This window comes from Homo sapiens, chromosome 14 (assembly GCF_000001405.40).
Source record: "Homo sapiens chromosome 14, GRCh38.p14 Primary Assembly".
NCBI classification, from domain to species: Eukaryota; Metazoa; Chordata; class Mammalia; order Primates; family Hominidae; genus Homo; species Homo sapiens.
Genome location: NC_000014.9, coordinates 105,001,671 through 105,025,052, shown reverse-complemented (window position 1 = coordinate 105,025,052; position 23,382 = coordinate 105,001,671). Strand labels below are relative to the sequence as shown.

Sequence of the window (23,382 nt, the reverse complement as noted above, 5' to 3'; positions counted from 1 at the left end):
CAGTCATCTCTGCCAAGACCCAAACACTTGAGTGAGCTCAGCTGATGCCTCATGAGACACAGGATGCTGTGACCCCAGCCGAAATGCCAACCGCAGAAATGCCAGCAAACAAAAGGCTGCCTTTTGAATCTACTAAGTTTGGGAAAGTGTGTCACACAGCAAAAGGTAACTGATATAGAGGTGGGTGTCCTCCTTAATACTTTTCTTTTTTCTTACTTTATCTATAGGGTAGCCTTCCACATGTATTTCTCTAGATTTTTATTTTATTTTTTATGTTTATTTATTTATTTTTTGAGACAGAGTCTCACTCTGTCGCCCAGGCTGGAATGCAGTGGTGCAATCTCAGCTCACTGCAACCTCCGCCTCCTGTGTTCCAGCAATTCTCCTGCCTCAGCCTCCCGAGTAGCGGGATTACGGGTACATGCCACCACGCCTGGCTAATTTTTGTATTTTTAGTAGAGACGGGGTTTCACCATGTTGGCCAGGCTGGTCTCGAACTCCTGAACTCAGGTAACCCGCCCACCTCAGCCTCCCAAAGTGCTGGGATTACAGGCATGAGCCACTGTGCCCGGCCATTTCTCTAGATTTTTAATAGCATTTTGTGAGGTTTCAAAAATATCCTGGGATTTTGCCTGGCAATAGAATAAATGTATATATTCATTTGGGAAGTAAATGAACTCTGGACTCAGGCCCAGTGACACATTTTCACCAGCAATACCACTATGACTCCACTAAGAGAACAACTGGAGTCTCCGCATGGCCTCTCCTGGCCGCTGCCCCATGCACCTCTTCTCTTGGTTAATTTTAATGAGCCTTTTCATGGTAATGAACCATAACCACGAGTACAATAGCTTCTAGGGAATTCTCTGAGTCCTTCTAATGAATTTCAAACTTGAGGGTGGTCTTGGGGCTGTCCCTAACTTTGTACTTGTATATTTAGTTTGCTAAAGATTATACCATGAAGGGGTGTTGAATTTTACTAGATGCTTCTACACTGAGATTTTCATACTTTTTTTCTCCTTCATTCTATTGTCATGAATCATGTTGACCTTGCAATGTGAAATCAACTGTACTCCAGTTCCTGGAGTACACCCAACTTGGTTGTGATGAGTTACCTTTTTTACATTATCATTGGATCTGATTTGCTAATATGTGGTTTGGAATTTTAAACAATGTTCATGAGAGAGAATACCATGTGTGTTTTCTCCCATCATGTCCCTTTCGAGTTTTAGTATCAAATTTGTTAGCCCTGTAGAACAAATTGGTAAGAAGAGTTCCCCTTTATCATTTGGAAGACTCTGTGTAAGACTGATGCTCTTTCTTCAATTTGAGTCTTTTTTTTAACGGATTCTAGTTCTCCTTGTCATCAATTTTCCTGAATACATTAGTTACTGAAAAATATGACTCCAATCTTGGTGTAACCATAGACTTCTATGTTTTTTCTGGTCCTATGTCCTAGCAAGCCTGTTAATATTTTATGACTACAGTTAACAGTAACTTACTGCATATTTTCTAATAGGTAGAGGAGAGGATTTTGAATGTTCCCAACACAAAAGAAATGATGTTTGAGGTGATGGATATGCTAACTACCTTGATGGATCATTATACTTTGTATATACATGTCAAAATATCACACCAAATCTCATCTTGAATTGTAGCTCCTATAATTCCCATGTCGTGGGAGGGACCCGGCAGGAGGTAACTGAATCATGGGGCAGGCTTTCCTGTTCTGTTCTCCGGATAGTGAATACATTTCCTGAGATCTGACGGTTTTATAAAGGGGAGCTCCCTGCACACGCTCTCTTGCCTGCCGCCGTGTAAGACGTCCCTTCGCTTTTCCTTTGTCTCCTGCCATGATTGCGAGTCCATTAAACCTCTTTTTCTTTATAAATTACCCAGTCTCGGGTATGTCTTTATTAGCAGCATGAGAATAGACTAATATGCTCTGGAAGATATTATCTTACTCCAGACATTATTTTAGATCTTTGCCAATTTGACCCGTGGCAAACAGCACTCCAGCATAGCTTTAATTTCCACTGCTCTTGTTCTGATTGGGGCTGAGCATCTATTCGCCTGTATAGGAGCATTTGTATTTTCTTTGCTCTGAACTGTGTTTATATTCTACGCCCACTTTTCTTTTCTTTTTTTAAGAGATGGGGTCTCACTCTGCTGCCCAGGCTGGAGTGCAGTGGTGCAATCATAGTTCACTGCAGCCTCCAACTCCTGGGCTCAAGGGATTCTCTCACCCCAGCCTCCTGAGTAGCTGGGATTACAGGTGGGTGCCACTATTTCCAAACCACTTTTCTTTGGTGATCTAGATTTCATTTGCATTTGCAGAATATCTGTATATTAAGGAATTTAACCTTTATGTGGGATACAGCCAGGAAAAACTTTTTTCCCCATTTGTCTTTTCACTTTGACATGCATAAACTTTAAATTCTCAGGTAGTCACCTTTATCAAGTCCCATTTTCTTTTACCTGGGCAGTAACCTAATGGGATTTTCTACTTCCAGCCTTCCTGCCACCTCCTCCAAATCTATTACCAACAGTGATTCTTGGTGGTTGTGGTGCCTCATGCCTGTAATCCCAGAACTTTGGGAGGCCAAGGTAGGAGGATCACTTAAGGCCAGGAGTTGGAGACCAGCCTGTGTAACAAGACAATACCCTGTCTCTACAAAATTACCAAAAAAAAAAAAAAAGTTAGCTTGGTGTAGTGGCACACTTCTGTAGTCCCAGCTACTTGGGAGGCTGAGGCGTGAGAATCACTCGAGCACAAGAGTTCGAGGATACAGTGAGCCATAATCACGCCACTGTTGTCCAGCCTGGGCGAAAGAGACCCCCTTTTTTTTTTTTTTAAATAAGAACAGTGATTCTTTTCAAGCACAATTCAGATTCCAGTTCCTTCTCTGCTGACCATGCCAGTAGTCTCCATCCCACTCCCAGAATAGCCCAAAAGTCCCTCCACCCCTCACACTTAAAACTTTCCCACGAGATCACAGGGTTCTTTCTCACTGCACTGAGACGTGCTCCTGCCTCCTGCCCCTGCCTCGGGCTTTGCCCCAGCCATTCCTCTCCTGAATTCTCGTCCACTCTTCCTTTTGGTGCTTTAAGACGCTCCTTATCCTAGAGACCTATGTGAGCAGCGCCCCCACGTCACTCCCAGGTTTCCCGACAGCATTTCAGCATTTACCACCGACCTTGGCGCATCCGCACCTGCGGATTGATCTGAGGATTCCCCCCCAACTTCCAGCACTTGGCTCTCAGCTGCAGCCACGCCTGCCGGGCCTGCTGCAGGCGCTCAGGGTATTACTTAAGTCAATGATTGCAGGTTCTCGCATCCTATTTAAAACCTTTTCCACTAAGAGATTTAAAACACGTGTCCCCTGCTTTGAACTTTCACGTTACATTTCTTACGTGTAAACCTAGGAAGCCTTTGGAGATAACCCCGGTCTCTGGAGAGGCTTGGATAGACCTCGGAGCCCAGACCGCCCGGGAATTGCCGTGCCCGGCTCCTCCCGACCCCGGCACGGATGCCTCGGCGGAGAAGTTGAGCCAGGCAGAAGCGAGAGAGTCCAAACCTCTGTTTGCCCCGCCACGCCCGCCCGAGGGCCCCACGTGGGCCCCAGGCGCAGGCGCGTTCAGTTCAGGGCCAGACGCGCGGAGACCTGGGAGCTGGCGGGGCGGGGCCGGACTGGGCGCGGGGAGACCTGGGAGCCGGCGGGGCGTGGGCGTGGCGGGGCCGGGCGCAGGGGCGGGGGCGGGGCAACCGAGGGCGCGCGCGAGCCCCAACGGCCGTCGCCGCAGCGCGGGAAGACGCGCCACAGATGCCCCGCCCGCGTGGGTTTGAACAAGAGGCCCCGCCCCCGGCCCGCGAGTGGCCAATCAGCGGGCGTAGCGCGCGGAGAGCGCAGCGTCGACCCTTTGTGGACGCCGAGTGGCGGTCGCTCGCCCCGCCCCGCGCCGTCGGGCGCTCCTTCCTCAGCGGCGGGAAGCTGGCGGCAGCGGCGGTGGCGGTGGCTGAGCAGAGGACCCGGCGGGCGGCCTCGCGGGTCAGGTGAGCGGGCCCGGCGGACCGCTAGGGCGTCTACGGCGGCGTGCACTTTTGTGCTGCAGGGCGCGGAGGAGCCTGGGGGCGGTGCGCGGAGTCTGTGGCTCCTGGCGCTGGGTCCGGGGCGGAGGCGGCGCCCGGGACCACCGCTGGGGCTGCCGCGGCGCCCTCGCCGCCCTCCTGGGCGCTGGTTCCCCCGCGGGGTGGCCGCTGCTGAGGGGGCCCGGGGAACAGAGGGGCCCGGGCCGCCGTCTGCGTTCCTTGCGGAGCGCGGAGCTGGGGCTTTGCCGAGGCCTGCGGGCGGCCCCACGCGGGAGCCGCTTCACGAGGGCCCGGCTGGGGTACGCAGCGGCGTTTCCCGTACCTCGGCTCTAGTTGCAGCGGAGGGAACGCCAGGCGCGCCGCAGCCCCCTCTGTCGGAGCCCGGCCGCGGAGAGGGCCGCGGATGTGGGAGGAGGCCCAGACCCCGGGCGGGTCGGCCAGCGCCGTCTTCCCTGGGCTCCTCCGGCGGTGCGAGGTGGGACTAGGGAAAGTCCCCGAGACACTTGCAGAAGTCAGACGCAAGCCTCCCTCCGCGTCTTCAGACGCTTCTCGCCCCGCAAACAGGATCGTCGTGGCAAAGGCTCCGACAGCTTGCTGGAATAGAGGGTCTCCGCTGCCTCGCTTCTCCTGTGGCCTTCGTGTGGGACGCACGGGACGGCGGGACCCAGATAACCGTTCTCTCAAAGCGAGCCACAGAAAAACATTGCCTGTTCACAAAACTTACGTTTTATCAACTTTCTACGTACAACCACTCTATTTTCAAGTGTCACCGTGTTTTATAATTAGGGTGGAAATCCAGAATACAAAGTGAGTTACACCCCTTTTCTAGGAAGAGTAGTAGGCTGTATCTTGGAAAAGGGGCTAGGAAGTTTCCCTCAACTTGCCACTGGAACATGTTTTCAGGGAAAAGAAGGAGTGTGTTTCGTTCCAAGTAACAAAAGTACCTGCAATTGGCTGGGCGCGGTAGCTCACACCTCCCAGCACTTTGAGAGGAGGCCTAGGCGGGTGGATCTCCTGAGGTCCCGAGTTCGAGACTAGCTGGCCAACGTGGTGAAACCCCGTCTGTACTAAAAATACAAAAATTAGCTGGGCGTGATGGCGCATGCCTGTAATCATAATCCTAGCTATGTGGGAGGCTGAGGCAGGAGAATCGCTTGAACCAGAAAGGCAGAGGTCTCAGCCGAGATCGTGCCATTGCACTCCAGCCTGGGCGACAGAGCGAGACTCCGTCTCAAAAAACAAAAAAAACCAAATACCTGAAATTAACATAACAGTAATTGTTCATGAACAGCCTCCAGGAGACTTGTAGTGGAAGGTGGAGCTCCCACTCAGTACTCAAGACTGCAGACCTTGCTCCTCTTCTCCCTGTTTTTCCGATAAAGTATTTCAAAGCTTATCTGATGTGTGAGGAATGGAAATTGTTGATGATTTGCTTAAAAACCCGAAACTTTGAAGTGGCTGCAAGTCCAGCTGTGAAGGTGACAGGTTAGGTCAGAGTTGAGTCTGTCCCCAACCGTCCCAGCCCTACTGATCAGAATCTGGGAATCTGCGTTTTCAGCCAGCCTCGTGGTATTGCTCAGCCACGAAGGTGTGGCCACTGCTGCTGTAGTGAAGGACCAGTCCCCGAGCTGTACTCTGCTTGCCTGAGCAGCACTGCGGGGCTGCTCCCTGCTGGCCTCTGCCTCGGTGGGCCTAGGTTGCTCTGTCCCTAGTGGCCTGTTGGCTGTTCCACCTGCCATGTCGGACATGTCCTCAGTCCGTCTGGCCCTCTTCGTTTTTCTCTGTCTGGTCGGTGCTTGGTTTAGAAGCCTGAGGGCAGTGCTGGGAGTTGACTGAGGGCTTGGCTGTCCCGGTAACAACCTGTGGAGTTGGTGGGATTTTAGGCATTTAACTAGATGTGTAGAAAGAGCTTCAAAACTGAGCAGGGGGCCAGGCATGGTGGCTCACGCCTGTAATCCAGCACTTTGGGAGGCCGAGATGGGCGGATTGCCTGAGTTCAGGAGTTCGAGATCAGCCTGGCCAACATGGTGAAACCCCGTCTCTACAAAAAATACAAAAATTAGCCGGGTGTGGTGGCGCGTGCCTGTAGTCCTAGCTACTCGGGAGGCTGAGGTAGGAGAATCGCTTGAACCTGGGAGGTGGAGGTTGCAGTGAGCTGAGATTGCATCACTGCACTCCAGCCTGGGGGACAGAATGAGACTCTGTCTTAAAAAAAAAAAAAAAAATTGAGCAGGGAGCTAGGCTCCACAGCCCCACCGGTATGGTATAGGGCCCTTTCTCATTCCATATTAGAAGGAGTTAAGCAGCCTCAGGCAGAAGTCACACAGGAGGCCCTCAGGGAGCTGGGCCCAGCCCAGGCATCCCTCGGGGCTGGTTAAGACCATGCTCTTGCTGACTTTGTCCCAAACACAGATATAACCCAATTCAGGGTGATCCTCACAGGCCAGCTTCTCCGGGCCCAACCTTATCCTCTTCACTCCTGAACACATGTTCTGGGTGACAGCTCTTTGGGGTCACGTGACTGTAAAAAGCACCTGTGAGCTTTACTCTTTTTTGTATTAATAGTAATAAACTTGTCAGCATTTTAAAATATTGGGTACAACACAGAATTAACAGCTGCTGGAGATTTGGAACATTGGAGAGGAATGATTTGAAGTGACTGAACAGGGATATTCTCCTGGTACCAGAATGGGATCTGTGCATGGGATGAGATGCAGTGGAGGATGATGGGGATTATCTCTCGTCCCTTGTAGAACTTGTGTAACCCAGGCACATCTATGCAGGTCCCTGGGTTACACAAGTCCTACAAGGGGCGAGAGAGAATCTCCATCATCCTGGAGGATTCTTTCTGGCCCCTTGTAGCATTTCCCACCCTGATGGTGGCTACCCTTCTGTGTTTTCACAACTTAGATTAGCTTTGCCTGTCCTGAAGGTTCAGATCAATAGAATCCTACGGTACATATTTTTGTGTGTGTCTTGCTGCTTTTATTCAGCATAATGTTTTGAAATTTATCCGTGTTGCATAAATCATTGAGGTATGTTGCTGAGTTGCATTCCTTTGTCAGAATACACCAGATCGTATACATTCAACTTGTTTTAAGTGTTTTTTTTGTGTGTGTGTGTTTTTTTTTTGAGACGGAGTCTCGCTCTGTTGTTCAGGCTGTAGTGCAGTGGTGCAATCTCTGCTCACTGCAACCTCCGCCTTCCAGGTTCAAGCAATTCTCCTGCCTCAGCCTCCCGAGTAGCTGGGACTACAGGCACGTGCCACCACACCTGACTAATCTTTTGTATTTTTAGTAGAGATGGGGTTTCATCGTGTTGGCCAGGATGGTCTCAATCTCCTGACCTGGTGATCCGCCTGCCTCAGCCTCCCAAAGTGCTGGGATTACAGGCATGAGCCACTGTGCCCGGGCTGTTTAAGTCCTAAAAGAATGCTTGTGGCTGGGTGTGATGGCTCACTCCTGTAATCCTAGCACTTTGGGAGGCCGAGGTGGGCAAATCACTTGATGTCAGGAGTTCGAGACCAGCCTGGCCAACATGGCGAAACCCCGGCTCTATTAAAAATACAAAAAACTAGCTGGGCGTGGTGGTGCACGCCTATAATCCCAGCTACTCGGGAAGTTGAGGGAAGATGAGGCAGGAGAATCGCTTGAACCTAGGAGGTGGAGGTTGCAGTGAGCCGAGATTGCACCACTGCACTCCAGCCTGGGCGACAGTGAGACTCCATCTAAAAAAAAAAAGAATGCTTACAACTGAGAGTGATGAAACTAGGCCAAGGACCGCCCCCCACCTCCCCAGGAGCCTCTCTGGAGGCTCACACCTGCTGGTCCTGTCCTTGAATAGACAGAAAAAAGGTTCCCCCTGTTCTCTGAATTTCTTTTCGGTGTGATAGATCTCATTGCCTGTGCATTTAACACTCCTAAATTTTATAAAACGATTATTTCTTTGGCATTTATCCAAGAGAAATGAAAAACCAATGTTCATGCAAAAACATGTTCTAGAATGTCCATAGCAGCTTTATGTGTAATAACTCCAAACTGGAAACAAGGAAAAAGTTCCCTTCAGCTGGGGTGTGGTGACACTCTGCTCCGTCTGTGCCTCCAGATCCTACTCTGTTGGGAACTGTTGACACACAAGAGTTTGCAAGGATCTCAAGAGAATTATGCTGAAGGAGAAAAGCCAACCTCAGAAGGGTGCTTGCTGTGGGATCCCATTTATGCCACATTGTTGGGCTGACCCAGAGCTGAAGGGTGGCATGGCCAGAAAAGGACCTACACAGGGAGGCCAGGGTGTCTGGTCCTGGCAGGAGAGCAGCCGTGGAACAGGGTAGGAACACAGACGTGGAGCTCAGTGGAGGAGGGAAGGAACGCTTAGCTGTGGGGCTTAGAGACTTGGCAAAACAAGAGGAAGCTTTACCAGCAAGTGTGCAGAAATAGTGCGGGAGAAAGTTGGTGGAGCGTTCCACCTTCTTAGGATGCAGTTTAATAATGTTTATCAAGCCTCTTAAAAATGTACCTGCACATCACCCTAGTAAGTAAAGAGCCGAGGCTAAGGAAGCCAAATGCTAGAAATACCAAAACACCTAAAGTTAGAAACTGGTATCATTTGTGATTGGGAAAATTGTCAGTAGTGTGAAACTTCCCTCCCTTGTGCAGAGAGGAAAGTGCTGGGAGAAACGACTGGAAAGGAGGAACCCAGGTGGTGACTGTGTTTTTCTGAGTGGATGGGATCCTGGGAGAAAATTCGTTTTATGGTTTTTGATGCTCTTCCAGATTGTCTATGGTGAGCTGTGGAAATAAGCAACCAGGTGAGAACAGGCAGAGGCTGTTTATCCAGAGCTTCCCCTAGCAAGGGTGCGGCCCTCCTCTCTCGTGATTGGCAGAAACTCATAGGCAGGTGAGGGAACAGGAGAGCTTTACAGTGGAATCCAGGGAAGCTCAGGGATGGCTGATGGAGGCTGCTGACTTGGGGGACTGGGGTGGCCAGTTAGAAGTGGGGCTCCTGGCCTGGCACGGTGGCTGACGCCTGTAGTCCCAGCACTTTGGGAGGCCAAGGTGAGTGGATCACCCGAGGTCAGGAGTTTTGAGACCAGCCTGACCAACATGGTAAGTCTCTACTGAAAATATAAAAATTAGCCAGGCCTGGTGGTACACCCTTGTAATCCCAGCTACTCGGGAGGCTGAGGCAGGAGAATCCCTTGAACCTGGGAGGCGGAGGTTGCGGTGAGCTGAGATTGCGCCACTGCACTCCAGCCTGGGCGACACAACAACAACAACAAAGAAGTGGGGCTCCTGTGAGATGGCCTAGAACATGTTTGGCTTTCTCTGGTTGGTCCTAAATTGGAAGCAGGGACAAAAACTGGAGAGGTTGTCGGTTACTAATCATGTCCTGGCCATTTTGGGCTGCTTGCTATGGAAATGATTGTTTAGCTTCCTGGATTGTTCCTAGAGAAAGCAGCCAGGCTTCCTGCAGGTCTGACTAGGGCAACCTGGCTTCCTGGCCCGTTACTGAAGGTAAAGGGCTGGTTTCCGACTGATGGCGGCAGATAATGGCTGAGAGTTCTGTTTCTGTATGTGGTTCCGCCATTGTTTGTTGGTATATTCCCTCGCTCAGAGCAGATGTTATTAGGGTGATTTCTGACGGTCACGTATTGCTAGTGCTGCCCTTAGGACCGCTGACAGCACCAGGCCAAGCACTGAATTCATCCTCTTAAGATCCCCAGTGGGAGGCTTCTAGTATCCATATCTGGCTTTCAGAAAAGGGCGGGAGGGTCTGTCGTTGGGTTTGGACTCAGGACCTGGCATTTCTAAGGACTCAGAGGAAAGGAAAGTGGGACCCAGAGGGTCCTAGGAGCTTGGGACAGCTTCTTGAACTGGTTCCCAGTGTGGTTGTGGGTCTTCTTGGCCTGTCCCATTGGTATTCTTGTTCCTTCTGTGAGTTGCCCTGATTGCCCTGCTCAGTCGTGCTGACCTCCTGTAGGCCCCACATTATGGGGGTTGTGCTGCTGGGTTTCCAGAGTCAGGGGAGGCAGCCAGGGGTTCTTCTGTCTATAAACTTGGGCTTAATGCATGCTGTTCAAGAGGATTTGGTTTGGGTCCTAAATTAATCCATTGCTATGCAGGCTTGGGATTGAGATAGGTTGAAAGAGAAACTAAAAACCTAAAAGGTATATTGACTTCCCACAGAGGAACCCGTGGGACTTAATCTTTTCCCCAACGCAGGGTGTCCTTTGTAGTTTGACATAGCCTTATGTTAATTCTCGATATACTTAGCAATTTTAAGCCAGTGATTTAAACAATGGATTGGGATGGAAAAGCTCTGAAAAGTTAAATTTGTGGCTGACACAAAGAACTCGAATATTTACCAAAAGTAATAGAAATGTGTAAATGTGTTTTGGTGGTAAACTGTCCTTCATTTAGAATTAGTTGAGAAGCTGGTGTATGCAGGTGTGAGAGGCGGTGCCCAGCCTGAGGGCTGTGCCTGTGGTGACACTGGCATGCTGCTCTGGGGAAATGGGTGCTGTAGGGGAAATAAGCTAGGGTTAGGGAAGTTTTCCTTTAATTTTAATTTTGAAATAATTGTAGAGCCAGGGGAGGTTGCAGAGCAGTGTTCAGGAGGTCCTATGTGCCCTTCCTCTGCTCCCCAGGGCCGGCATCCTTGTAGGATGCACAGCCAGGCCCCAGGTCCGTGTGATGACACGGCTGCCGCAGGCGCATGTGTGCGTGTCCGGCGCTGTGCAGTCAGGGTAGGGCCACCCCCACAGCCCAGGAGCAGAAGGGCCCTCACCCCCAAGATCTCCCTGCGCAGGTTCCTTTCTAGCCCTGCCACCCCTCAGCTCTGGGTCAGCATGACAATGTGGCATAAATGGGATCCCATAGCAAGCACCCTTCTGAGGTTGGCTTTTCTCCCTCAGCCTAATGCCCCTGTGGAAGGATCCGTCCTGTGTATCAACAGTTCATTTCTTTCTATTGCAGAGTAGGATTTGGTGGCATGAATGGAGCAGAGTGTGTGTCACCGTGCCCAGGTGAAGGGTACATTTTCCTTGTTTCAGATTTGGAGCTACTACAAATAAAGCTGCTGTGCACATTCTGGAACATGTTTTTTGCATGAACATTGGCTTTTTCTCTGGGATAAATGCCCAAGAGGTCACTTAGTTTTTTAAAATTTACATGTGTTAAAGGCACGGGGATGAGATCTGTGACACTGAAGGGAAATTCAGAGAACAGGGGGACCCTTTCTTCTGTTAATTCAAGGGTAGGACCAGCAGGTGGGAGCCTCCAGAGGGGCTCCTGGGAAGGGGTATGTTTGGCAGCCAGTTCTCCCGCACTGCAAAACTTCCCATCCTTGGTCTCCAGACCCCGAGCAGAGACAGCATGTGCCTCCCATACGCCAGCTTTCCAAGAGCACCTGGGTATACCCTGGTCACAGGGAGCCATCAGATTGACTAAGAGAAAAAGAAGTTCCAAAGTTTGCATATTCAAAAGATTGTAACCCTATTTATGCATAACTTGAATTATTTGAAATAATATTTCACTACATTACAAGCATGAGAAGAGAGAAACTTAATCATGCGTGAGATGCTTGTCCTGTCAGACTCTGCCGGCCAGTATGGCCCTGAGCCAGCTGTCATCCTCCCAGCTCCCCGCAGGCGGCACTGGCTCAGAATGGCATCTGTCAAAAGCCAGAGCCCACCCTCCTGTCTGCTCTGCCTTTAGTGCCCCAGAGATGTCCCAATTTAGAATCAGTTAAAAAAAAAAAAAAACAGTTTGCACAGACTTGTACTTCTGAGAGTAGACATGGCCAATGTCCATCTAGTGCATCTGTGCTGTGCGTCTTAGTGGAACCTGCCCAGCAAGGCTGAGCCTTAGGTGCCATCCCGGAGTTGCCCAGGTCTGGGGTAAGATCCAGGAATCTGCATCTTCAACCAACAGCGCCAGTGCTGAGGCATACGCCGAGAAACACTGCCTTGGCCAGCTCTGGGCTGCCACAACACACTGGTGAGGAACCCACCCCCCCTGCCCCGGACACACACATACCCTGCCATGTTTTGGTTCCTTTGAAGAGAAAGGAGTTGAGATGAGAGGGGAGGTGGCCCCTGAGGCCATGGTTGTACGGGCTGGTCAGAGCTCTCGAGTGGAGGGCATTGACCTGAGAGATGTCAAGTAGAAAGCAGCCAGGCAGAGCCTGTGCACCTTGGGAGAAATGAACTGGTGGGGCGGGTGGGGGGAGCCAAGGAATGGGTGTGATCCCTAAGGCAGGCAGCATGGGCGGGTGTGGGAGCAAGGGACTGTCCAGGGCCACATAGGCTCGGCCAGGAGACCCTGTGTCCCTTGGAGAATTGTGCACGAAACACAGACCACTCGCTGCATGGGATGAGCATACAGCCCTGCAGTCCTTCCCCTGCGCGTTCCTGGTGGCACAGCTTTCCAGCCCGGCTGTCTGCGACATATAGAGGCTTTTAGTGAAAGCATTGAGGGGGAAGGCACTAACTCTTCTGAACGCAGAAGTGACTTTGTCCGAGGCAGGATCCTGAGGGAAGTCAGAATGGTACGTGTGTGTGCCCGGCCCTGTCCGGCCCCCGCCCTGCGCCCTCTGCAGGCTGGCACGGTTCACATTAATCTCATGTTACCCCAGGGTCTCTTCTTTTGTACACACCACAGTTAGATTTTTGAAACAGATTTTCAGCCAAGCTCTCGAACACTTACATTTCTCTTATATATTTCTCCTATTTTTAGTTCATTTATCTTTTTTGCTATAAAACACTGTCGTGGTACAGTTGAGAGGTTTGTCGTTTCTAACAACGTGACTGTGCCTGGCTTAGGCAGGATGGCAGCTGATCTGGGGGTGGGGGTCTCCCACTGGGCTCCACGTCTCAGCTCTGTTAGGGAGTTACAGCTCTGTCAAGTCCCTGCCAGTTACGGAGTCGCTGCTCCTTGCGTACAGTGAGGGCAGTCAGACGAAATCCAAGGGGCGCTGTCCGCAGAGAGTCTGCCGTGTGCTAAGTGGTGTCTTCCTTGGTTTCTGCAGGACACAATGTTTGCACGAGGACTGAAGAGGAAATGTGTTGGCCACGAGGAAGACGTGGAGGGAGCCCTGGCCGGCTTGAAGACAGTGTCCTCATACAGCCTGCAGCGGCAGTCGCTCCTGGACATGTCTCTGGTGAAGTTGCAGCTTTGCCACATGCTTGTGGAGCCCAACCTGTGCCGCTCAGTCCTCATTGCCAACACGGTCCGGCAGATCCAAGAGGAGATGACGCAGGATGGGACGTGGCGCACAGTGGCACCCCAGGCTGCAGAGCGGGCGCCGCTCGACCGCTTGGTCTCCACGGAGATCCTGTGCCGTGCAGCGTGGGGGCAAGAGGGGGCACATCCTGCTCCTGGCTTGGGGGACGGCCACACACAGGGTCCAGTTTCTGACCTTTGCCCAGTCACCTCAGCACAGGCACCAAGGCACCTGCAGAGCAGCGCCTGGGAGATGGATGGCCCTCGAGAAAACAGAGGAAGCTTTCACAAGTCACTTGATCAGATATTTGAAACGCTGGAGACTAAAAACCCCAGCTGCATGGAAGAGCTGTTCTCAGACGTGGACAGCCCCTACTACGACCTGGACACAGTACTGACAGGCATGATGGGGGGTGCCAGGCCGGGCCCCTGCGAAGGGCTCGAGGGCTTGGCTCCGGCCACCCCAGGCCCTAGCTCCAGCTGCAAGTCCGACCTGGGCGAGCTGGACCACGTGGTGGAGATCCTGGTGGAGACCTGAGCAGGAGCCCTGAGTGCTCACAGCCGCCTCTGACGCATTGACACGTGAGCACTGGCTCCCACGGAGGGTGCGCCTGCCGCCAGCGGCCCAGCCTTGCTGCCCTGTCTGCTGATTCTGAGAAATCCCAGAACAGCCCATTACCAGTGGGGCTGCAGCCCTAGGCCCGTCCCACTCACCTCCCCCCTGTGGAGCGCCAGGCAGAGGCTGTTCTGGAAGGCTTCTTGTCTTCTGACGTCCCCACAGCCCTGGGCCCCTCGTGTCTCTTTGTGTCCCCCACTGTAGAGGACGGTGAGCCGCAGCTGCATCAACCTCCTTTTACCTTTAGATAGGTGAATTTTTACAATTCAGTTTTACATGTTTTGGGCAGTATTTTGTCTTAAGATATATTTTTTAAACTTTTTATACCTTATCTCTTTAGATTTTTTCAGCTATTTTCTTAAAAGTATATTTTTTCTATAAACATCCTTTGCTGCTACATTAGAACTTTTATAGCCTAAACAATTGCAGTTGGTGTGTTTCATTTTTTTAAGGTTTAAATAAGGGTTTTTTGTTTTGTTTTGTTTTTTGCAGTGAGCATCACTACAGTCTCAGTCAACAGTGTGAATGTATCATGTTTTACTTTAAATGTGTGTGTGATACTTCTTCATTATGTCCTGCGCTGCAGTGAGACCTGGGTGAAAATCAGGAGCCGCACACAGCCACATCTTCCTAGACCTAAGAGTAAATTATGGAGGATTTTATTTATGTCTATTTATATGTAAATGTCATTGAAGACAAAGGTCAAATATTTGTCTGTTTGTAGATCACAGGCACCAGTTGGTCTTCAGGGACCTCATAGCCCCTCGGTGGTGCCTTCTCAAGGCAGTGTTCCTGGAGGCTCCCATCAGGGTCAGCCCATGCACCTGCCCTGGGTGAGGAAGTAGCATTGCTGCTGGATGAGAAACGCCTGCGCTGCTCTGTTAGACTGGTGCTGAAACAAAAGGTTAAGGCTAGGTTGAAGTCTAGAATGAAAGAAATCTGAATCCATGTCATTCATAACCCCTTGATCTGTAGTGTCATGGGTGCTGCCGCAGGCAGGGAGTGAGCTGGGGGTGCCTGCAGCCTTCCACTCCTGCCCCGCCTCACCCCACATGCTCCCTGTTTCTCATGCTTTCTCTAACTTCCTCACCCCTTAACCAAAAAGGTGTGTTTTCTTTTGTGCATATAGCCATTCTTAAATATCAGTGATGTAAACCTCACTTTATTAAAAAATTATCCAGCAAACAAAATGGGAATGTGGTGTTAGTTACGACCACGGCCTGACCCTCCAGCAACCTTTCTGCAGGATCAGTTCTGCTGTATTATCTGGTGGTGCTTTCTAAGGTGGGGAAAGGAATTGCACTTGGCTGCATTAAATGGACGCTGGGTTACTTTTATTTCCCCCCCCCACAGGGTTGCAGAGCAAATTCTTTTTACATTGTTCAGCGCCCGGCTGGAGTTGGGGGTGTCCACGACCTCTGACAGCCCCCGATGTCGAAAGTTAATCCTCATGGACCCTAGTTTAAAGGGTATGTGTTTTATAGGAATAAATCTAAAGCACTATTTTGTTTCTGTATAGCATTTTTATCTTTTAGAAACATCATTTGTTCAGCATTAGTAGTAGTTGTAGTGCCTGTTTTGGTAGCCTTCAAAATTATAAACTGCTCAGAGAATGTGACTTTTGAGCGCTTTAGGGGTGCTTGGTCGGAAAACAGACTGGGTCTGTGGAAGGACCACAGACAGGAGAGAACAGCTGCTGTGACTTAGAAGTGTAGCCGGAGTCTCATTCCCTGGACTCGCCGTGTTCACCTGTGACACCGTACACCAAAGCCTGCTTGTTTCCACCGTGGTGCGCAGTGGCTGAGTAATCAGCTGTTTTCCAAGCATCATTTCTCTGCAAGTTTAGTCCGTGTGTGTGGCTTTGTTTTTTTTTGTTTTTTTTTTTTCTTTTTTTTTGATGGAGTCTCGCTCTGTCTCCCAGGCTGGAGTGCAGTGGCGCGATCTTGGCTCACCGCAACCTCTGCCTCCCAGGTTCAAGCGATTCTCCTGCTTCAGCCTCCCAAGTAGCTGGGATTACAGGCACCCACCACTACGCCCAGCTAATTTGGTGTATTTTTAGTAGAGACAGGGTTTCACCGTGTTGCCAGGATGGTCTCGAACTCCTGACCTCATGATTCACCTGCCTCAGCCTCCCAAAATGCTAGGATTACAGGCGTGAGCCACCGCGCCTGGCATTCTTGGTTTTTTGACAGGATTTAACTTTTGTTGCCCAGGCTGGAGTGCAATGGCGTGACCTTGGCTCACTGCAACCTCTGCCTCCCAGGTTCAAGCGATTCTCCTGCCTCAGCCTCCCAAGTAGCTGGGATTACAGGCATGTGCCACCACGCCCGGCTAATTTTTATATTTTTAGTAGAGATGGGGTTTCACCATGTTGATGAGACTGGTCTCGAACTCCCAACCTCAGGTGATCCACCTGCCTCGGCCTCCCAAAGTGCTGGGAATATAGGCGTGAGCCACCGCACCTGGCCATGTATGTGGTATTTTTAAGTCTGTAGGTACAAATTGACTTTAATTGGGAAGAAATTTTCCAAGTGTTTAATAATTTTGTTTACAAAATGTTTATTCAGAAACAGAAATACAAATTCCAGTCATCTAAACTTGGCACTGTTCTCTGCGGTTTGCTTCTGGCCAAACTGAGGGGAGCGGGCATGTTAGTTGACAGTTTCCCAGGGGCGTTTCCTGACGTGTGGTGGGTACCCCTCACGTGCAGCATGCCTTGCACACAGCTTCGGAGCCCCTTCTACCTCAGAAGTTCGGTTTCTAGGGTTATAAAGTAATGCACGTTTATTTGAAGACATGGAACCAGTATGAAGATAGCAGACTCCTCCCAGGGAACCGATCTTCCTTTCAGGGGTGACAGCGCACCTTGGAGAACGCTACCTGCTCCGCCCACAGATGCCTGCGCAGGATTTCCTCGGGGGCGGGGCGGGGTGGGAGGGGGTGGTCTCCACAGGGCTGAGCCCAGCCATCTGGGCCTGGATCCCTGCTGGGCCACATCTGGGCCAGGCGCCTTCTCCCAGGTTCACTCCTTAGTGAAGTGGGCCCGGCAGTGATGGAAGGAGGACGCAGCAGCAAACTGCGGAACAAGTGTGGACATTGTGCTCACCCTGTGGAGTCCAGGTAGCCGGGTGAGCAGGCTGGCGGAGCCACCGGAAAGGGCCGGGCTGGGGTGGGTGGGTGTCTGAGGTGTGGACACTTGATGTGTTGCCTTGGTGTCTACCTAAAGACAGAGTGGTGGGATCACGTCCCTCATCATAAACTCTCACAGTTGGTTTCTGGGTTGCTAGAAGTTTCTATCTGCAACCAGCGAGCCGTGTCCTTAAACTGGGATTTTGCTGTGACCTGAACCAAGCTTTCCATGTGGCAGTGCTGTGTGTGCTGGGTTGCTGCATTTACTCACAGGAAGGCCGCTGTTCCTTCTCATGCCCTGTGTGGAGGTGGCTGTGTCCTCAGTGCCTGCTCAGGGTTTGTAGTGGAGCCAAGCAGGGAGGGGAGTTGTGATGTGTGGATGCCTGAGGGTTCGAGGGTAACCTCCCTTTCTCAGTGATGAGCCTTTGCAGTATTCTCAGGAGTGGCGATCGCCCGTCTGGGAAGATGTGACTGCCAAGTGCAGCCCTCAGTTGAGGTGACACATGTTGCTTGGTCGCTCCAGCAGACTTGCTGCAGCTGGACAGTTTAAGCTCTTGGGGCTGCTTGCTGCCCCTTGCAGGCGTACACTTCATCGGCCCATCCCTCACTCTGCTGTGCCCCTGGGAGATAAGCCCCGCCTTCTCAGATCCGTCCCCCTTGCCTTCCACGCTGGGCCTGAATGAGCCTCTGCACTGCGCAGAGGAGCCCGGCAGGGGCCTTGCAGAGGAAGCTGGGAGCAGCTCCATGGACTGTTCCTGAAGCTGTCGGAACCAGCTGGATGAACTGGAGGTGCACTGAGGGCCTGCTTCTTGGGTGACAATTTGGTCAATGCCAGAACAAGAGGCTTGGAAAACCTACAGCGAGCTGGAGTGGAAGGTCCAGGAAAGGCCCTAAAAATGATAGGCTCTGAGCAGCCTGTTGGCCACAGCCACTGTGCAGTGGTTCCCGTCGGCCTGTAGACGCCAGGCTCGGGCTCACTGCCTGGCCTGGCCCGGCCCTGCCACCTCTGGGGCCTTCAGGGACCCTTCAGCACCCTCATCTTTTTGTGAAAAAGCCCCAAATGTATAAACTACCCCCATCCCTGGGTTGGCCCGAGGCCCTGTGACCTTGCTGCCCCCACATTCCTGCACACCATCGGACTGGGGGGTAGTTACACCGATCTACTTGAAGGTTGGCAAGTTGCATGGAGTTGGGGGAGCGGGTGGGTGTCCACAGGCACCTCTTGGGTGGACGCCCAGAGTGGAGTCGAAAACCACCTCAGATTCAAAACAAAGCAACCTGGACGGGATGTTATGAACACGCAGCCTCTGCCTGATGAAAGCTCCTCTGTCCTGCACTCACACATGTGCCTCCCTGCAAGTGCCTCCATCGCAAGCTGCGGAGAAATCTGGCATGCCAGGCGAACCTGCCCTCCAGGCTGCCCGGTGATCCTCTTACTGGAGCTGATGCAGAGCACAGCCAGGCCCATGGGCTGCATTTGGTTGACAGACAGGACTTTCATTACAGGTGGGTTCATTTCCCGCTGGGGTCAGAGAAGGGGCGTTCCAGGACCCTACAAAGAGCTGGGCAGGCCTGGGGACAGAGGGCACTGTGGTGCTGGGCCCCAGGAGGGGCTGCCCCACCAATGACCCCACCAGTGATAAAGCTGGGCAGCCTGCAGGGCAAGAGCCAGGTGGGGTGCGTGCTGCCCACAAGCTGAAGATCGGGTCCCAGGAAGCTCTCCCAGGGGCTCTGCCGTCTTCACCCTGTTCTTCCCACCTTGGCTGGTGGCCTGGCCTGTGACAGCTGTGCTGGACCCAGGCACCCAGCAGGACCAGCCACCCACTGAGGGGCAGGAGAACAAGAAGGGGCACTACCCAGCTCTGAGAGCTCAGTTGGGGCGGTGCCTCTGCCTCCCGACCCTGGCCAGAGGCCCAGCCCGTCCTGGGGACTGGCTGTACCAAGTCAGCCTAAGCCCAGTCCCACGGTGAGACACAGGCGGAAAGGTGCTGCCTCCATCCTGGCTGCCTGCTGTGGGGACTGGCTGGGTGGTGTAGGAGGGTGTGCACGTGTGTGTGCACCTACACGTATGTGCATGCGCAGCTGGAGGGGGTGCTGGGGGTGAGGGCCGGGGAAGTGGTCAGATCCCAGCCTGTTGGAAGATCCTGGTTTGTGATCCTGTCCCTGTGACCACGGGGCCACCACTCCCGCAGAGCTGCTCAGCCGTGCTCACACTGGGTGCGGCTGCGAGGAGCACGGGCCGTGCATTTTCCTCCTCGCCCGTGGGCCTGGCCAGCCTGGTGCTGAGGGTCACTGGGGACTGGGAGGGTCCCCAGGAGGCCACAACCCCTGCCACCACCCCAAACACTTGGCCCTCGACTGTGGCCTCATGGTTCCCCATGCTTCGCCTTCTGGATGCAAGTTGAGGGCCAGGCAGAGCTCCCAGCCAGAGGTAGAGGTGCTGTCCCGAAGCAGGCAGGCTTGCCTGGAACAGTTCACACACCTGGAGCCCGAGCTGGGAAGCAGGACACTGAGCCCCCGGGCCTGCTGCCTGGGCTGACCAGGTGTTAGCACTGTTCATCCTTTTTTTTTTTTTAATTTGAGACAGAGTCTCTTACTCTGTCGCCTAGGCTGGAGTGCAGTGGCGCAATCTTGGCTCACTGTAACGTCTACCTCCTAGGTTCAAGCGATTCTCTTGCCTCAGCCTCCCGAGTAGCTTGGGTTACAGGCGCCCACCACCACGCCCGGCTAATTATTTTTAGTAGAGACGGGATTTCGCCATGTTGGCCAGGCTGGTCTCAGACTCCTGACCTCAAGTGATCCGCCCGCCTTGGCCTCCCAAAGTGCTGGGATTACAGGCATGAGCCAGCGCACCTGGCCTTTTTGAGTTTCTGAAAGAATTTTAAAACAAATCCCAGATGTTGAGACATTTTGACCCTAAAAACACGTTAAACTTCTTTCCTTTTTTTTTTTTTTGAGACTGAGTCTCCCTCCGTCACCTAGGCTGGAGTGCAGTGGCATGTGATCTTGACTCACTGCAACCTCTGCCTCCCCGGTACGATCAATTCTCCTGCCTCCGCCTCCTGAGTAGCTGGGACTACAGGCCTGTGCCACCATGCCCAGCTAATTTTTCTATTATTAGTACAGACAGGGTTTCACCATGTTGGCCAGGCTGGTTGGTCTTGAACTCCTGACCTCGTGATCCGCTCGCCTCGGCCTCCCAAAGTGCTGGGATTACAGGTGTGAGCCACCATGCCTGGCCAGGTTAAACTTTTTTAAAAAGACTTTTGTTTATTTATTTTTTGAGGCGGAGTTTCGCTCTTGTCGCCCAGGCTGGAGTGCAGTGGCGCGATCTCAGCTCACTGCAACTTCTGTCTCCCGGGTTCAAGCAATTCTCCTGCCTCAGCCTCCCAAGTACCTGGGATTACAGGTGCCCGCTACCATGCCCAGCTAATTTTTTGTATTTTTAGTAGAGGCGGGGTTTCAACATGTTGGCTAGGCTGATCTCAAACTCCTGACCTCAGGTGATCCTCTTGCTTTGACCTCCCAAAGTGCTGGTATTACAGGTGTGAGCCAATGCGCCCAGCCAAAAAAGACATTTTCTTACACAACCACAATACCATTGTGAAAGAAAAATACAATTTCAGGGCCCCCAAATTCACTAGGCCAAAGGGAAAAATTAAGCTGGAAACTGACTCATTCAAGAAACCGCCTTTTTGTTTCTGAGCAAACAGCTGCAGGTAGAAGGCCACAGGCCTCCACAGGCAGCTGCGCTTGTCTGCTGTAGCTTATGAAAGCACAATTTGCTGAGCGAGACGATTGCGTGACGAACCTGGGAGGCAGAGGCTGCAGTGAGCCAAGATCGTGCCACTGCACTCCAGCCTGGGCAACAGGGCAAGACTCTGTCTCATAAAATATGTGTATATATTGAAGTCCCCAAATCTTGCTCTCTTTGGAAAAAGCACAGATCACAGACTGTTCCTGTGGTTTTGTGTTTCTTTTTCCTGGGCTCTGGCAAAATAAACCTCTGACTTGATTGAGAGCTGCCTCAGATGCTTTTTGGTTTACACCATATTGTAACTGGAAAATTAGGGAGAATTCTTTAATATCTAACACCTGCTTCATAGTCAAATGTCTGATTTTCTCCCTAAATTGTCCTTTTTTTTTTTTTTTTTTTTTTTGAGATGGAGTCTTGCTGTCGCCCAGGCTGGAGTGCAGTGGCGCGATCTCCGCTCACTGCAAGCTCCGCCCCCTGGGTTCTCGCCATTCTCCTGCCTCAGCCTCCCGACTAGCTGGGACTACAGGCTCCCGCCACCATGCCTGGCTAATTCTTTGTATTTTTAGTAGAGACGGGGTTTCACTGTGTTATCCAGGATGGTCTCGATCTCCTCACCTCATGATCCACCCACCTCGGCCACCCAAAGTGTTGGGATTAGAGGCGTGAGCCACCACGCCCGGCCCCTTTATTTCCTTTTTAACTTTTAAAAATTGAGGTACATAGTAGAGTCCAGAACATGCCAGAATTGTCAGTGTCCGCTTGGCAACAGTTTACACGGGAAGATACCCTGTAGCTGCTATGGGTTAAGGTAGGGGAGGTGCGTCCCCACCGTTGCCAACAGGATTTGTGGGCCTGATCTGCTTGTGAATGGGCACCTGCAGGGCCTGGCCTTTACATGTCGTGAGGTTTGCCCAGGTTGTGTGTGTTGCTGTTCTTTTTTAAAAAATTAACTGTTTTGGTGGGGCGCGGTGGCTCACGCCTGTAATCCCAGCACTTTGGGAGGCTGAGGTGGGTGGATCATGAGGTCAGGAGTTCAAGACCAGCCTGGCCAAGATGGTGAAACCCCGTCTCTACTAAAAATACAAAAATTAGCCAGGCGTGGTGGCAGGTGCCTGTAATCCCAGCTACTTGGGAAGCTGAAGCAGAGAATTGCTTGAACCTGGGAGGAGGAGGCTGCAGTGAGCCGAGATTGTGCCACTGCACTCCAGCCTGGGCAACAAAGCGAAACTCCATCTCAAAAAAATAATAATAATAATAATAATAATTAATTTTTAGGCCGGGCGTGGTGGCTCATGCCTGTAATCCCAGCACTTTGGGAGGCTAAGGCGGGCAGATCACGAGGCCAGGAGTTCGAGACCAGCTTGGCCAATGTGGAGAAACTCCGTCTCTACTAAAAATACAAAAATTAGCCAGGCATGGTGGCCTGTAGTCACAGCTACTCGGGAGGCTAAGGCAGGAGAATCGCTTGAACCTGGAAGGCGGAGGTTGCAGTGAGCCAAGATGGCACCACTGCACTCCAGCCTGGGTGACAGAGTGAGACTCTGTCTCAAAAAAAAAAAATTAATTTTTAAATTGACAAAAATTGTATATCATGTACAACATGTTTTGAAATATGTGTACACTGTGAAACAGCTAAGTCGAGCTAATTAATATGCACTGCCACACATACTTGTCACTTTTTGGGGTGAGAACACTTAAATCTACTCTCTTAGTGGTTTTATTATTATTTTTTTGAGACGGAGTCTTGCTCTGCCGCCCAGGCTGGAGTGCAGTCGTGCAATCTTGGCTCACTGCAACCTCCACCTCCCAGGTACAAGCGATTCTCCTGCCTCGGCCTCCTGAGTAGCTGGGACTACAGGCATGTGCCACCACGCCGGGCTAATTTTTGTATTATTAGTAAAGATGGGGTTTCATCATGTTGGCCAGGCTGGTCTCGAGAACTCCTGACCTCGTGATCCACCCGCCTCAGCCTCCCAAAGTACTGGGATTACAGGCGTGAGCCACCGTAGCCAGTCTCTCCTAGTGGTTTTCAAGAATGTAATCCATTGTTACTGATTACGGTCCCTGCGTACAAGAGATCCCCGAGCTCATTCCTTGCAACTGAAATTTTGCATCTTTTGGCCACCATCTCCCCAGCCAGCCCTCAGCCCCCGGCAACCACCAGTCTACTCTGCGTCTGTGAACTCCCCTTTCTTTTTTGAGACAGGGTCTTGCTCTTACCCACGCTGGAGTGCAGTGGCGCAAACATGGCTCACTGCAGCCTCAATCTCTTGGGTTGAGTTTTGCTTTTTTTTTTTTTGAGACAGAGTCTCGCTCTGTCACCCAGACTGGAGTGCAGGGATTACGATCTTGGCTCGACGCAACCTCCGCCTCCCGGGTCCAAGTGATTCTCCTGCCTCAGCCTCCTGAGTAGTTGGGATTACAGGCACGCACCATCACGCCCGGCTAATTTTTGTATTTTAGTGGAGACGGGGTTTCACTATGTTGGTCAGGCTGGTGTCAAACTCCTGACCTCAAGTCATCTGCCCAGCTTGGCCTCCCAGAGTCCTGGGATCACAGCCGTGAGCCA

The 23,382-nt window shown here is 51.8% G+C and overlaps 1 protein-coding gene across 2 annotated transcripts, besides 8 other annotated features; it reads left to right on the top strand.

Annotated features, from left to right (window-relative positions):
• Positions 3,175–3,234: an enhancer, noted in NCBI's record as "active region_9127". NCBI's record gives its function as "activates an Ori minimal core promoter by ATAC-STARR-seq in GM12878 lymphoblastoid cells {active_cell/tissue: GM12878}" and the evidence as "EXISTENCE:reporter gene assay evidence [ECO:0000049][PMID:35858748]".
• Positions 3,250–3,763: an enhancer, noted in NCBI's record as "H3K27ac hESC enhancer chr14:105487627-105488140 (GRCh37/hg19 assembly coordinates)". NCBI's record gives its function as "activates a minimal SCP1, AML or CMV promoter by ChIP-STARR-seq in primed H9 embryonic stem cells {active_cell/tissue: H9 hESC(primed)}" and the evidence as "EXISTENCE:reporter gene assay evidence [ECO:0000049][PMID:30033119]".
• Positions 3,250–4,793: a biological region, named in NCBI's record as "H3K27ac hESC enhancers GRCh37_chr14:105486597-105487112 and GRCh37_chr14:105487627-105488140".
• Positions 3,535–3,604: a silencer, noted in NCBI's record as "silent region_6212". NCBI's record gives its function as "represses an Ori minimal core promoter by ATAC-STARR-seq in GM12878 lymphoblastoid cells {active_cell/tissue: GM12878}" and the evidence as "EXISTENCE:reporter gene assay evidence [ECO:0000049][PMID:35858748]".
• Positions 3,635–4,524: a silencer, noted in NCBI's record as "silent region_6211". NCBI's record gives its function as "represses an Ori minimal core promoter by ATAC-STARR-seq in GM12878 lymphoblastoid cells {active_cell/tissue: GM12878}" and the evidence as "EXISTENCE:reporter gene assay evidence [ECO:0000049][PMID:35858748]".
• Positions 3,970–15,480, top strand: CDCA4 (cell division cycle associated 4). Of its 2 annotated transcripts, NM_145701.4 has the most exons (3): positions 3,970–4,054; positions 13,118–13,893; positions 14,420–15,430. In NM_145701.4, exon 2 carries the CDS (start codon positions 13,124–13,126, stop codon positions 13,847–13,849), a length of 726 nt encoding a protein of 241 aa, NP_663747.1. In that variant the 5' UTR covers positions 3,970–4,054; positions 13,118–13,123; the 3' UTR covers positions 13,850–13,893; positions 14,420–15,430. The 2 variants fall into 2 exon arrangements, with proteins under 2 accessions (NP_663747.1, NP_060425.2); NM_017955.4 differs by having other exon boundaries at positions 13,118–15,480.
• Positions 4,278–4,793: an enhancer, noted in NCBI's record as "H3K27ac hESC enhancer chr14:105486597-105487112 (GRCh37/hg19 assembly coordinates)". NCBI's record gives its function as "activates a minimal SCP1, AML or CMV promoter by ChIP-STARR-seq in primed H9 embryonic stem cells {active_cell/tissue: H9 hESC(primed)}" and the evidence as "EXISTENCE:reporter gene assay evidence [ECO:0000049][PMID:30033119]".
• Positions 4,535–4,624: a silencer, noted in NCBI's record as "silent region_6210". NCBI's record gives its function as "represses an Ori minimal core promoter by ATAC-STARR-seq in GM12878 lymphoblastoid cells {active_cell/tissue: GM12878}" and the evidence as "EXISTENCE:reporter gene assay evidence [ECO:0000049][PMID:35858748]".
• Positions 5,245–5,905: an enhancer, noted in NCBI's record as "H3K4me1 hESC enhancer chr14:105485485-105486145 (GRCh37/hg19 assembly coordinates)". NCBI's record gives its function as "activates a minimal SCP1, AML or CMV promoter by ChIP-STARR-seq in naive H9 embryonic stem cells {active_cell/tissue: H9 hESC(naive)}" and the evidence as "EXISTENCE:reporter gene assay evidence [ECO:0000049][PMID:30033119]".
• Positions 15,481–23,382: the final 7,902 nt, after the last annotated feature.

Excerpts from the sequence above, each read along its gene's own strand:
- CDCA4 (NM_017955.4), top strand. The coding sequence starts at position 13,124 with ATGTTTGCACGAGGACTGAAGAGGAAATGTGTTGGCCACGAGGAAGAC.